General features: G+C 47.8%; 1 long non-coding RNA gene across 2 annotated transcripts in view, besides 1 other annotated feature; it reads left to right on the plus strand.

Annotated features, from left to right (window-relative positions):
- Positions 1 to 2,375: 2,375 nt before the first annotated feature.
- LOC105372649 (uncharacterized) overlaps positions 2,376 to 12,252 on the plus strand; it is a 108,687-nt gene continuing 98,810 nt past the window's right edge. For both annotated transcript variants that reach the window (XR_001754659.2, XR_936820.3), the window contains exons 1-2: positions 2,376 to 3,497; positions 3,988 to 4,066. This is a non-coding gene — a long non-coding RNA (uncharacterized LOC105372649). The remainder of the gene's footprint in view (positions 3,498 to 3,987; positions 4,067 to 12,252) is intronic.
- Positions 6,220 to 6,279: an enhancer, noted in NCBI's record as "active region_18061". NCBI's record gives its function as "activates an Ori minimal core promoter by ATAC-STARR-seq in GM12878 lymphoblastoid cells {active_cell/tissue: GM12878}" and the evidence as "EXISTENCE:reporter gene assay evidence [ECO:0000049][PMID:35858748]".

A 12,252-nucleotide genomic window follows, 5' to 3' on the forward strand; every position in this document is an offset into this window, starting at 1 on the left:
AAAAAGCATCACATTAGACATGTGAATCCTTTTGCAAGTAATTTATTTCCCCTTCAGGTTACTGACAGTGTAGCTGTGGCTCATTTTCACTGATGTAGAGGAATAGTTAGTGCTTATTAAACACCTGCTATGTGCTGGGAGCAAATGCTTTATATTTCATATTTGGTTGAACCCTTAAGGCCACCCTATCAGTTAGATACTATTCTTATTCCCATTTGACAAAAGAAGAAATTGAAGCATCAGTTGCCCTAAGTGCTTAGGAAATGTTTATTGAAGGAATGAGTGATGGAGACGACCTAAGTGATCATCAATAAGATGATTGGATAAAGGTGGAATTCTAAGTTTAGGTGAACATATGAAGAGTTGTCATAGGGAAACTTTCAAGGAAGGCATAGACTGAGGTTTGCAAGAGTTCTAGCACTTGGTGTGGTGTTTTGGGGGTTCAGATTGTGGGGAAGGTGGAGAAGACCTGGATGCTGGCTAGCTAAACCCCACAGAGGTCTCCCTTGCAGACACCACCTTCTCTTCCAGCAGTCTCCTGCACTGTGGCACAGTGGAGTGGCTGCAGTCGCTGTGTGAAACCTGCCAGGTCTCCTACCATGTACACCGGAGGCGTGTCCTGCAGGAGCCGAGGAATGGGGGTGTCCCCTTCCCGCTGCTGGAAGAGCGGGCTGGCTGTGTGGAGTACTGGAGCCACCAGGGAGTGGAGTGCCAGCAGTCATTGCATGAGTGGGGATGGGCCCCAGGGGTGGCTCTCAGTGGGAACAGTCAGGCTGGACTGCAGGGCCCTCCATGAGTTCTTGGGTAGGGTCTGAGTTTGGAATGGGGCTTTGCCTTCCTTTGCCCTGATCCCCCTTCTCATCTTGTGAATGAGTTCAGAAGCTCTGAACTCCACTGGGCTTCTCAGTCTTCTTTCTGCTCCTCTCCCTGTGTGAATCAGTCAGGACTTTGTATGCAGGTGATAGGAGACCCAACTTAACCTGAACTGAGCAAAACTGTGTGGCTCCTGTAACTAAAATTCCAGGGGCTGCATTCAGGCATGGCTGGATCCAGGAGCTCAAGCAATGTTGCCAGGAATCTCTCTCCATGTCTCAGCTCTGTTTTCCTCTCAGTTGGCCTCATTCTCAGGCAGGCTTTTCCCTGTAATGGTCTTTGACAGCTTCAGGCTTCCCTCTAACCAGCCTAACAGCTGAAGAGAAGGCCTCTTTCCCCATAGTTCCAGCAAATATCCTAGGATATTTGTGGTGGTGCGCACACCCGAAGTCCCAGCTGCTCGGGAAGCTGACGCAGGAGGATCACTTGAGCCCAGAAGTTTGAGGTTGTAGTGAACTGATTGCACTACAAGACCCTGTCTCTAGAGATCAATCAATCAGTCAATCAATCAAAAGGTCGTTCTGACTGTTATGTGGACAGCAGACTGAGAGGGGTCAGAGGGAATCAGGGAGCCTAGGGAAGAGGTGGCTGCAATGGTTCAGGCAAGAGACTATGGTGGTTGAACCAGGGAGGTGGCAGTGGGGTGATGAAAAGTGGGAGTGTTGCTTCCTCTGCTTGAAATCCTTCTCCCTACCCCCAGCCACTCCCATCCAGCCATTCCTGGGTCATCACTTCCTGTAAAGATGTCAGTTTCCCTGAGGAAGATCGGGAAGATCATCCTGACTTGCTAATATGTGCCAAGTGCCTCACCACATGACCTGACTCTGTGAGGTCAGTGTTACTATTCTCTTCTTACAGACAGGGAAACCGAGGCTCAAGGAGGTGACAAAGCTTGTCCAAGTCACATGGCTATTGACTAGAGGACCAGGACCCTCCCATTCTGACCTTTGATATCACCCACCTACAATCTTTTCGTTGTACTGTTTTTTGTTGTTGTTGTTGTTGTTTGTTTTTTGTTTTTTTTTTTTAAGACAAGGTTTTGCTCTTGTTGCCCAGGCTGGAGTGCAATGGTGCAATCTCAGCTCACTGCAGCCTCCTCCTCCCGGGTCCAAGCCATTCTCCTGCCTCAGCCTCCCGAGTAGCTGGGATTACAGGCACCCGCCACCATGCCTGGCTAATTTTTTGTATTTTTTGTTGAGACGAGGTTTCACCATGTTGGCCAGGCTGATCCCGAGCTCCTGACCTCAGGTGGTCCACCTGCCTCGGCCTCCCCAAGTGCTGTCAGAATGTAGTAAGGTGATATATGATGAGCACCTACTACATAAGTGCTCAATAAACAGCAGCTGAATTATTTTCTTTGCTCACCGTTACAGCCATGAGGCTCTGATCTTTATGACTGATCCCTTGAATCTTCTTTCAAAACATCTCACCTCTGTATTTGAGGGCTTGTCCCTTCACCATAGCATGAGAGCAACAGCTGCATCACAGTAGCTAACAATGTCAAGCAAATTACAAAGGGAAGAAACACTCACTGAGTACCTGCCTTGTGCCAGACCCTCGACCAATGTTACATTACATTCTGACAATAACACCAGGATGTAGATACTGATATTATCCCCATTTTGCAGTTAAGAAGAATGAGGCTCAGACAGGTGCAGTAACTTGATCAAGGTCACTCAGCTATAACAAGGGGAGTTGGGACTAACCTGGGCTTAGCTGGGGCTCTCCTTACTGCTCTAGGTGACACCAAAAGTACAACTACAGCTGTTGGAAGAGGGAAGGGAGGCTGTGTGTTAGGGATTCCTAAGGAATCACGAACCTCTTGTGAAATGATTATCAATTCTCTTCTATGTTCTCCTCTGTTTGATCTAGAAAGGAAGAAACTTGGAAGCTGGCCAAGTAAAATAATTTTATTCATTCATTTGTCTTTCTATCAATCCATCCCCCTATACCTCCTTTCTTCCATCCTTCCATTGTTACATTCACTCATTCATCTATTCTCCCATCCATCCATCCATCCATCCATCCATCCATCTACTCGTTCATCTAGCCATTTCCACTCATCTCTCTGCATTCTTCTATCTTCTTCCATTCTACCTTCTTCCATTCTTCTATCTTCCCATCCATCCATCCATCCATCCATCCATCCATCCATCCAGCTATCCATCCATCTATCTACCCATCCATTTTTTATTCATTCACCTATCCATCCACTTGTCAACTCTCCATCCATCCTTTCCATTCATCCTCTCTTCCACCCATCCATCTTTCTACTCATCTCTCTGTCTCTCCTTTTCTTCCAGCCTCTCATCTTCCCATTTATCTACCTATTATACATCCATTCTTCCTTTCTTCCATCATTTCAGCTATCTATCCATTTATTCATTTAGTCATTGACTTTAAACATTTTATTTTCTTCTTTTAAAATTATTTAATTAATTTTTTGCCTTTCCTATGGTGCTGATAGTTATTGACTCTTTTTTCTTTGTTTTTTTTTTTTGTTTGTTTGTTTTTCTGTTTTTTTTTTGTTTTGTTTTTTTGAGTCTAGGTCTTGCTGTATTGCCCAAGGCTGGAGGACAGTGATGCAATCATGGCTCCCTGCAGCCTTGATCTTCTGAGCTCAGGTGATCCTCCCCTTTTAGCTTCCCAGGTAGCTGAGACTACAGGTGCACGCCATCACATCTGGCTAATTTTTGCAGGATGAGGTTTCACCATGTTGCCTAGGCTGGTCTCAAATTTTTGGGCTCTAGCAATCCTCCTCCCTCGGCCTCCCAAAATGGTGGGATTACAGGCATGAGACATTGCTCCTGGCTGACTAACTCTTTTATCTACTCTATTAAAAAAATCATTCACTTATTCATTCAGCAAATCATTCATTCAAAAAGAATTTTTGAGACCACACCAGGCCCTGAAGTCTCAGAGATAACTATGATCCTGCTTCCAGCACTATAAAGGGCACTGGTAGGGATTATCTACCCAGTTCAAAGATCCTACAGTCTCTTTAGGGCTGTCTTGTAAGTGACTTGGATACCAGAGGTACCAAGCTCGGTGTCCCTATGGTGCCATAGCCTGGGATGTGGTCCGCCCTAACTCTGTTTTCTCCTTGACCCACAGTCCCTGCTTTGATAACCACAGGCAGCTACGGGAAAGAGTGGGAAAAGTGAGATAGTCCCAAGAAACAGGCAACAGCAGGGTAAGTGAAAATCAATCAACCTAAAGTCAAACTAAAATTTGTGAACATGTTTCCTTGAACTAAGTTTCTTTTTTTTCTTTTTCTTTTTTTTTTTCTGGAGATGGAGTCTTGCTCTGTTGCCCAGGCTGGAGCTCAGTGGTGTGATCTCAGCTCACTGCAACATCCGCCACCCGGGTTCAAGCCATTCTTGTGCCTCAGCCTCCTGAGTAGCTGGGATTACAGGCACACACCACCACGCCAGGCTAATTTTTGTATTTTTAGTAGAGACGGGGTTTCATCATGTTGGCCAGACTGATCTCGAACTCCTGACCTCAGGTGATCTGCCTGCCTCAGCCTCCCAAATTGCTGGGATTACAGGCGTGAGCCACCGTGCCCGGCCCAAAATTTCATTTATCACGTCTTTCTCTTACTTTGGCAACATCCATATCTCCCCGTTTGTCACCTTGTTACACCTGCAAGCTCATTAACATGGATTTTAAAGTCCCCAATGATTGGTCTCCATTCAACTTCATTCATTCACCCATTCATTCAACTTTGATTGAGTGCCTACTATGTGACAGGTACTGTGCTAGTCCTTGGGTTATGGCAAGGAACAAAAAAGACAGAAATACTTGGTCCTCATTGAGTGGACAGTCTAGTGGGAGGAGAGAGACAAAAAACAAATAACATGTTGGAGCCTAAGTGCCATGGAGAAGATAAAGCAGGGAAGGGGGTAGGGGTGCCCTGAGAAGGTGACATTTGAACTAAGATCTGGAGGAGGAGATCTGGGGGAAGAGTGTGCCTGGAAGAGGGAAACAGCAAGTGCAAAAGTTCTGGGGCAGGGCATGCCTAGTGTGTTCAAGGATCAGCAAGAAGGCGGGTATAGTTTGAGTGCAGGGAGAGAGTAGGAAATGAGGTTGAAAAGATAACAAGGTAGGAGGTAGATCCTGTGGGGCCTGTAGGCTGTGTTGAGGAGTTGCGCACTTTCTCTCATGAGGTGGGAGTCATGGTAGGGTTTTTAGCAGAGGAGTGACATGATCTGACTTAAGTCTTCACAGGATTCCTTGGGATCCTACTTGGACAATGGATAGAGGAGAAGCAAGGGGGTAACTCGGGAGACCAATGAGGAGGCAATTGCAGTGGTCCAGGCGAGGGAAGAAGGTGGTTTGGACCAGGGTGGTTTCGTCGTACCTTGTGAAGGATGGATTGTGGGGACTGGCGACAGATCAGCGTGTTGTGGGATCGCGGAGCTGAGGTCAAATTTCCAGGACAGTGCCTGGCTCATGATAGGTACTCAGTAAATATCAGTTGAAAGAATAAGGTCTGAACTAAGTCAGTGGCAATGGAGATGGACAGGAGAACTAAAAGGGTTAGGATTCTTTTGATTGCAAGTGACAGAAACTTAGCTCAGACTGCGTCAAGTGAAAAGGTGAAGTATTGGTTTAGATAACCGGGAGGGAAGTTCTGAAATAACATTACTTCAAGCAGGGCTGGCGCCAACGGTGTGTGTAAGGCCGTCAGGGCTGGCTCTCGTCCCCTCTCTTTCTGTCACTCGCTCCATGGGTTGACTTTATTCTCAAGCAGGCTCTTTCCCTGTGGTGGTCAAGATGGGCATCTTGCAGAGATTGTGGGGATAAGCAGCCCCACATCCTCCCAGATCAGTAACCCCAAAAGTGTCCTCTTGGAAGTCTCAGCGGATCATATCTGGAGGAGACCCCGATTGGGTCTGCTTGGATCCTGGGCCCATCCCTGAACCAGTCGTCGTGGCCAGGAAGATGGGGAACTCTGGTCGGTCAACTCCAATCACATACCCGCCTTAGTGGCAGCTGTGGGAGCCACGGCCAGGCCGGCTGAGTGATGGCCCCTCCAAGACCATAGGGCGAGGGCAAGAAGTTTCCAAACAAACTGCCAAAAGGGGAAGAGAAATTGTATGGGGAAGACGCAATTTCTAGTTATCACAGACTTCTGGTAGGGGACAGATTCCCGAGGGGATATGGGGGCAGATCAGAGAGGGAAGGACTGGGGATGGGCTTTCGGCTGCACCTGGAAGAAAACCGTGGGCTCCTCTGGCCACCAGGGGGCAGCAGATTCACACAGAGTCATTCACGAGTCCTTGACACGCCGCGTCTCCTCCAGCAGGGGGTGCTATTTACTGCTCCTTGTAGAAAAAGTTGGGTGGAAGTAAAATTTGGCAAATTCTGGGTCTTATTTCAGATACCCTTGAATGGGGGGGCTTTCCTTTTAAAGAATTCTCATTGCAAATCTTTTTTTCTTCTGTTTTTTGAGACCGAGTCTCACTCTGTTGACCAGGCTGGAGTGCAGTGGCGCCATCTCAGCTCACTGCAACCTCTGCCTCCGGGGTTCAAGCCGTTCTCCTGTCTCAGCCTACCAAGTAGCTGGGACTACAGGCGCGAGCCACCACGCCTGGCTAATTTTTGTATTTTTAGTAGAGACAGGGTTTCATCAAGTTGGCCACTGCAGTGAGCCACCGCGCCTGGCCTTTTTTTTTTTTTTTTCCCTCTTTTTTTTTGAGGCAAATCTTTTTCTTTTCTCTTCTTTTTCTTTCTTTCTTTTTTTTTTTTTTTGTGGCAAATCTTTTTAATAAAATAGGATCTTTTGAAAGAACGTGCCGGGCGCGGTGGCTCACGCCTGTAATTCCAGCACTTTGGGAGGCTGAGGTGGGTGGATCACCTGAGGTCAGGAGTTCAAGACCAGCCTGACTAACATGGAGAAACCCCGTCTCTACTAAAAATACAAAATTAGCCAGGCGTGGTGGCACATGCCTGTAAATCCAGCTACTCGGGAAGCTGAGGCAGGAGAATCACTTGAGTCAGGGAGGTGGAGTTTGTTGCGGTGAACCGAGATTGTGCCATTGCACTCCAGCCCGGGCAACACCAGCAAAACTCCGTCTCAAACAAACAAACAAACAAACAAAGAAAAGAAAAAACACAGTGGAGAGCTTAAGAGTATCTATTTAGGCTTATTTTCAGCAGAGATGGTTCCATTTTACATCCCACTGCTTATTAGGTATGTGGCCTTGGGCGAGTTTTCTCTCTGATCCTCCGTTTCCTAATCTGTAAACTAGGGGAAACACCTACCTTGCAGGGGTTCCATATTCCATCGGCCCCAATGACTTATTTAACATTTTAAAAACTGAGCTGGATATAATTCTAGGAGTTGGACCCAACAGTAAACAAAACAAATGAACATTCCTGGCATTATGGAGCCAGCCTTCTAATGGGGAAAACAGATGAGAAATAAAACACTCAGTCTTTTGGATAAAGTGCTTAGAATAGGGTCTGCCTGGTACATGGTAAACCCTGAATAATGTTAACTTGAAAAGCAGAAGTTGAATCTTGTTGTATGCAACCTGTTGAGGCCAATTGGGTTGCACAAAAGATTCCTGTATCAGGGAGAAATTGTACCAACCTGGGCCTAAGATAGGGCTGGATGTACAGTAGGTGCTTCATAAATGCTCATGGGTACTTGAGGTGGTATCTCCCTGTGTGGCTGCAGGTACTGTGTCCAGTTCCAGTTGGGGTCCATTCCAGGGAGCTGCGGGCAGGCGAGGGCACCCCATGCCCAGTGGACAAGGTATCTGAGTCAGGGCCACACGGTCTGTGTGAGGAGTGAATGGCCTGCCCAGGACACCAGGAGCCGGCGCTGCTACGGGGACGGTGGTGGGGCCAAAGGGTGAGCGACAGGACTCGGGCATGGGCAGGTGTGGCTGTAGAGCCCAGGGCATCTCTGCTGCCTGAGATAGCACCCTGGGAGAGAGATGCTGCTCCCTGGCCAGGGCGGGGGCCAGCAGGGTCCCAATCCCAGGGTCCAAAGAGACCAGCCAGTTAGGAGCCGGACTCCTGCCACTTCCGGTGGTGTAAACTTGGGCAAATCTCATCACCTCTCGGATCACTAAGTGCCTCATCTGAAGATACAGATAATGAGAGGACTTCCCCATCGGTCAGGGGTGAGGGCTAAGTGAGATTGTGCAAGGTGAGGACCTAGGACAGTTTCTGACATCCAGAAAGTATCCAAGAAAAGGGAGCTTGCATGGTCATTGAACCCTCACGAGTCCCTTAAAGGCCAGATTTGGTTACTCTCATTTTATAGATGGGCAAACCAACTCAGAGAGGCAGTGTGACTTAGTCAAGGTCACACAGCAGGGTTTGACCCAGATTTGGCTTACATTATCCCTCTAGACTGCCTCCCGTGGGGTGAGGGTATCTTGGAAAGCACTTCACACATACTAATTATAATACTGGCTTACATCGATTGAGCGCTTCCTATGAGTTGAGGATTATTCCAAGCTCTTTATATTCCTTCATTCATTCAGTGTTGAGCATGTGCTAGGTACTGTTCTGGGCACTAGGGATTCTGCAGTGAAGAAAACAGCTGAGGTCCCTTCCCTTATGCAGACAGTAAGGTCCCTTCCCTTATGCTGGGAGGAGGCAGACATCGGGCAAATAAATCTATAATTTGTCAGATGGGAGATGAATGTTAGGAGAGAAAGCAGAGTAAGGATGATGTCCTGGGGGTTGTTAATTTTTTTTTTCTTTTCTGGGTCTTGCCCTGTTGCCCAGGCTGAAGTGCAGTGGTGTAATCCCAGCTCACTGCAGCCTCAACCTCCTGGGCTCAGGTGATCCTCTCACCTCAGCCTCCCGAGTAGCTGGGACTACAGGATGCACCACCATGCTTGGCTAACTTTTGTATTTTTTGTAGAGACGGGGTTTCACCATGTTACCTAGGCTGGTCTTGAACACCTTGGCTCAAGCGATCTGCCCGCCTCAGCCTCCCAAAGTGCTGGGATTATGGGTGTGAGCCACCGTGCCCAGCCATTATTTTTAAAAGCCTGATCAAGGAGGGTAACAGAAAGGAGGTGATATTTGGACGGACACCCAAAGGAAATGAGGGAGGAGCCATGTGGATCTCTGGAGGAATAGCTTTCCAGGCAGAGGGACGGCGAGTGCAAAGGCCCTGAGGTAGAGCGTGCCTGCTGCACTGAGGAGCAAGAGAGGCCATTGGGCAGGAGCAGAGTGAGTGAGGGAGAGCGTAGAAGGAGGTGAAGTCACACTAACACACCGTATGCCAATGAAACATTGCAAGAATCTAACATGGATACTTTTAGGATCTCTGCTTTCCAGATGAGTTGACTGAGATACAAAGAGGTGCCCAAGGTCACATACCTAGCAAATGGCAGAAATGAGATTTGACCCTGAACTGCTCAGACCCCCAAGCCAAGCTCTAAACTCTAGTCTAGACTGTTTCTTACTGAACATGCTTTTCCGGTGCAGGGATTATCACACTGTTGGAATATGAGCTCTCTCTGGGGTCTGTACAGGGAGTTCTACCATTTCCAAGGGTGTTAATTTCCTTCTTTTAAAAATTAAGCAGCCCTGATCACTGTAAACTTAGAACAGGGAATGCCAAGGCCAGTTAGGGTGTTAGGGAGAAACGCATTTAGGCAGGAGGCATTGGATTACACAGATCTGGGTTCAGATTCCACCTCTGGCCCTGATTGGCTATGTGACTCTGGGCAAGGCCTGCACGTGACCCGGACAGTCACCACCACGTACGATTGTGGGGAGCACCCACAATTTTGCACAGCACCTGACCCCTTGTAGATACCCACTAGTGGGGGCTGCTGTCATTATCTCTAATCTGCAGAATAGATATAATAAGACGTAGTTTGTGAAAATGAGATGTAATGGATGTGATGAACCTGGCACATAGTAGGTTCCCAGTAAATACACGTCCAACAATATTATCACACTATAGGGTGGCCCTTCCTGCCAGCCTCCCTTCCAACCTCCCTCCCGCTTACTTGTCCTAGACCTGAGATTCCACTGTTAGAGTTTCATTCTTTGGGATAGGCGCTCACTTTTTAGAGCTTCAGTTTATTCATCAATTTTTGGAAACACTTTCTAGTCTTAAGACTCTGATTAATCCCAAATTTCTCTTTTTGGACACAAATACTCTGGGATGTGAAACATGGCACTTTGGCAAGGCTGAGATGTGGGTCCCAGGGGCCACAGTACCCACCAGGAATGGGAAGGGACAGAAAGGAGAGCCAGGGCTGTGTCCGAGACAGGCATCTCTCCACACTCCCCACCTGGGGCCAGGCTGGCAGAGCAGGTGACGGAAGGTCTCATGGGGGCATGAGCTCACCAGGAAGGACTGGCGGAGCAGGGGGATCCAAGAGAGGAGAGGCATGAGCCGTCAGCCGAATTCTTTCCACGGGCAGCTGTGAGAGCGGGCGTGCCAAGGGCATGGGCCTGGAGAGGGATTAGCCTATCAGTTGGGAATTTTTGGAGGGTTTATTTAGCTTAAGAAGTATCCCTGAGTTTGGGTCAAGCATAAGGAACATCTGCCATGAGCCACTCACCTACTGCGTGCTGGGCACGCACCAAGCAGGTGCTTCACACGTGTGTTCACAGTTAGGCCTTAGGGGCACTTTTAGACAAGGGACATGAACTCCATTTTATATAATGATGATGGCAATAATAATAGTAACTTTAAAATGTTATCATTTGTAAAACACTTATTATCTGCCACGTACTGGGCTTACAGGCTTACAACGGTGCCTGGTACCACGTGGGAGGCGCTTAATCAGTGTTTTTTTTTTTTTTTTTCTATTTTTTTGATGGGGGTCTTGCTCTGTCGCCCAGGCTGGAGTGCAGTGGCACGATCTCGACTCACTGCAACCTCCACCTCCTGGGTTCAAGCCATCCTCCTGCCTCAGCCTCCCAAGTAGCTGGGACTACAGTGCATGCCACCATGCCGGGCTAATTTTTGTATTTTTGTAGCAACATGGTTCTGCCATGTTGCCCAGGCTGGTCTGGAATTCCTGGGCTCAAGCGATCTGCCTGCCTTGGCTTAAAGTGTGGGGATTACAGGTGTGAGCCACTGCACCAGGCCCAGTGTTTGTCATTATTGATATTATTTTGCATTTTTACAAAAGATTTGGATTACACCTACAGAAAATTGGCTTTAAAATATATGAACAGGTTCACAAACATTTGGGAAGGTCACACACCTAGGTAGACACTGCCCAGGCAAGGAACAGAGCCTGGCCAGCCCCCGAGACCTGCACACGCCCCCTCCCTCAGTCCCTCCCTCCCCATAAAGGAGGCCTCTGCCCTGACTTCTCTGGTGATCCATTGTGCGACATCCTTGCCAGCTTTAGGAACTCGATGTGGAGCCCTCAACACTATAGTTCCATTTCATTTCGTTTTGTTTTGTTTCTTTCCAACTTTGCATCAGTGAAACCACGCAGGATGTGCTCTTTGGAATTCGACTGCCTTTGTTCCACATGAGGTTTCCAACGTTCATCCACGTGGTTGCACTTGCAGCATTAGCTGGTTCATTCTTGTTGCTGAAATAGTTAGCTATTACTATTATTATTTTGAGACAGAGTCTGGCTCTGTCGCCCAGGTTGGAGTGCAGTGGCACGGATTCAGTTCACTGCAACCTCCACCTCCCAGATTCAAGAGATTCTTATGCCTCAGCCTCCTGAGTAACTGGGATTACAGGCAAGTGCCACTATGCCCAGCTAATTTTTGTATTTTTAGTAGAGGTGAGGTTTCACTATGTTGGCCAGGATGGTCTTGAACTCCTGACCTCAAGCAATCTATCTGCCTCAGCCTCCCAAAGTGCTGGGATTACAGGCATGAGCCACCACGCCCAGTCAGTTAGCTATTATTATGATCATTTTTATTTTCTTTGCACACAGCATCTCAGATGACCTCCCCACCAACACCTCAGAGGGGCAAAGATTATTGATATCTCCATCTTCCACTGAGGAGAGAGAGGCTCCTAGGAGCCAGGTCCCAAACGCCACCTGATTCCAGAGCCTGTGCTCTTAGCCACTCCGTGGTGTGGCCCCTCAACAGAGGAGGAAAAGGGGGCACAGAGCAGTTAAGCAACTTGCCCAGCCTTGCCCAGCAGGGACGTGATCGAGCCACCTCCCCAGACCCTCAGAACTGACTCTGGAATGCCCTTGTGGCCTCTGAGGGTCGCTGGCTCTGTGGCCATCCCCAGGGTGACTTACAAGGGCCCAGTGCCCATACACTTTTAGGGCCCACAAAGACATTTTAATTTTAATTTCTTTTAAAACCAGAAGAAAAAAACTGATGCTATAATAATAATAATAATAATAATAATAATAATAATAATAATATTAGTGGATCACAAATCCAGCCTGGATTTTA

The sequence above is a fragment of the Homo sapiens genome, chromosome 20 (genome assembly GCF_000001405.40).
Source record: "Homo sapiens chromosome 20, GRCh38.p14 Primary Assembly".
In the NCBI taxonomy this organism is placed as follows: Eukaryota; Metazoa; Chordata; class Mammalia; order Primates; family Hominidae; genus Homo; species Homo sapiens.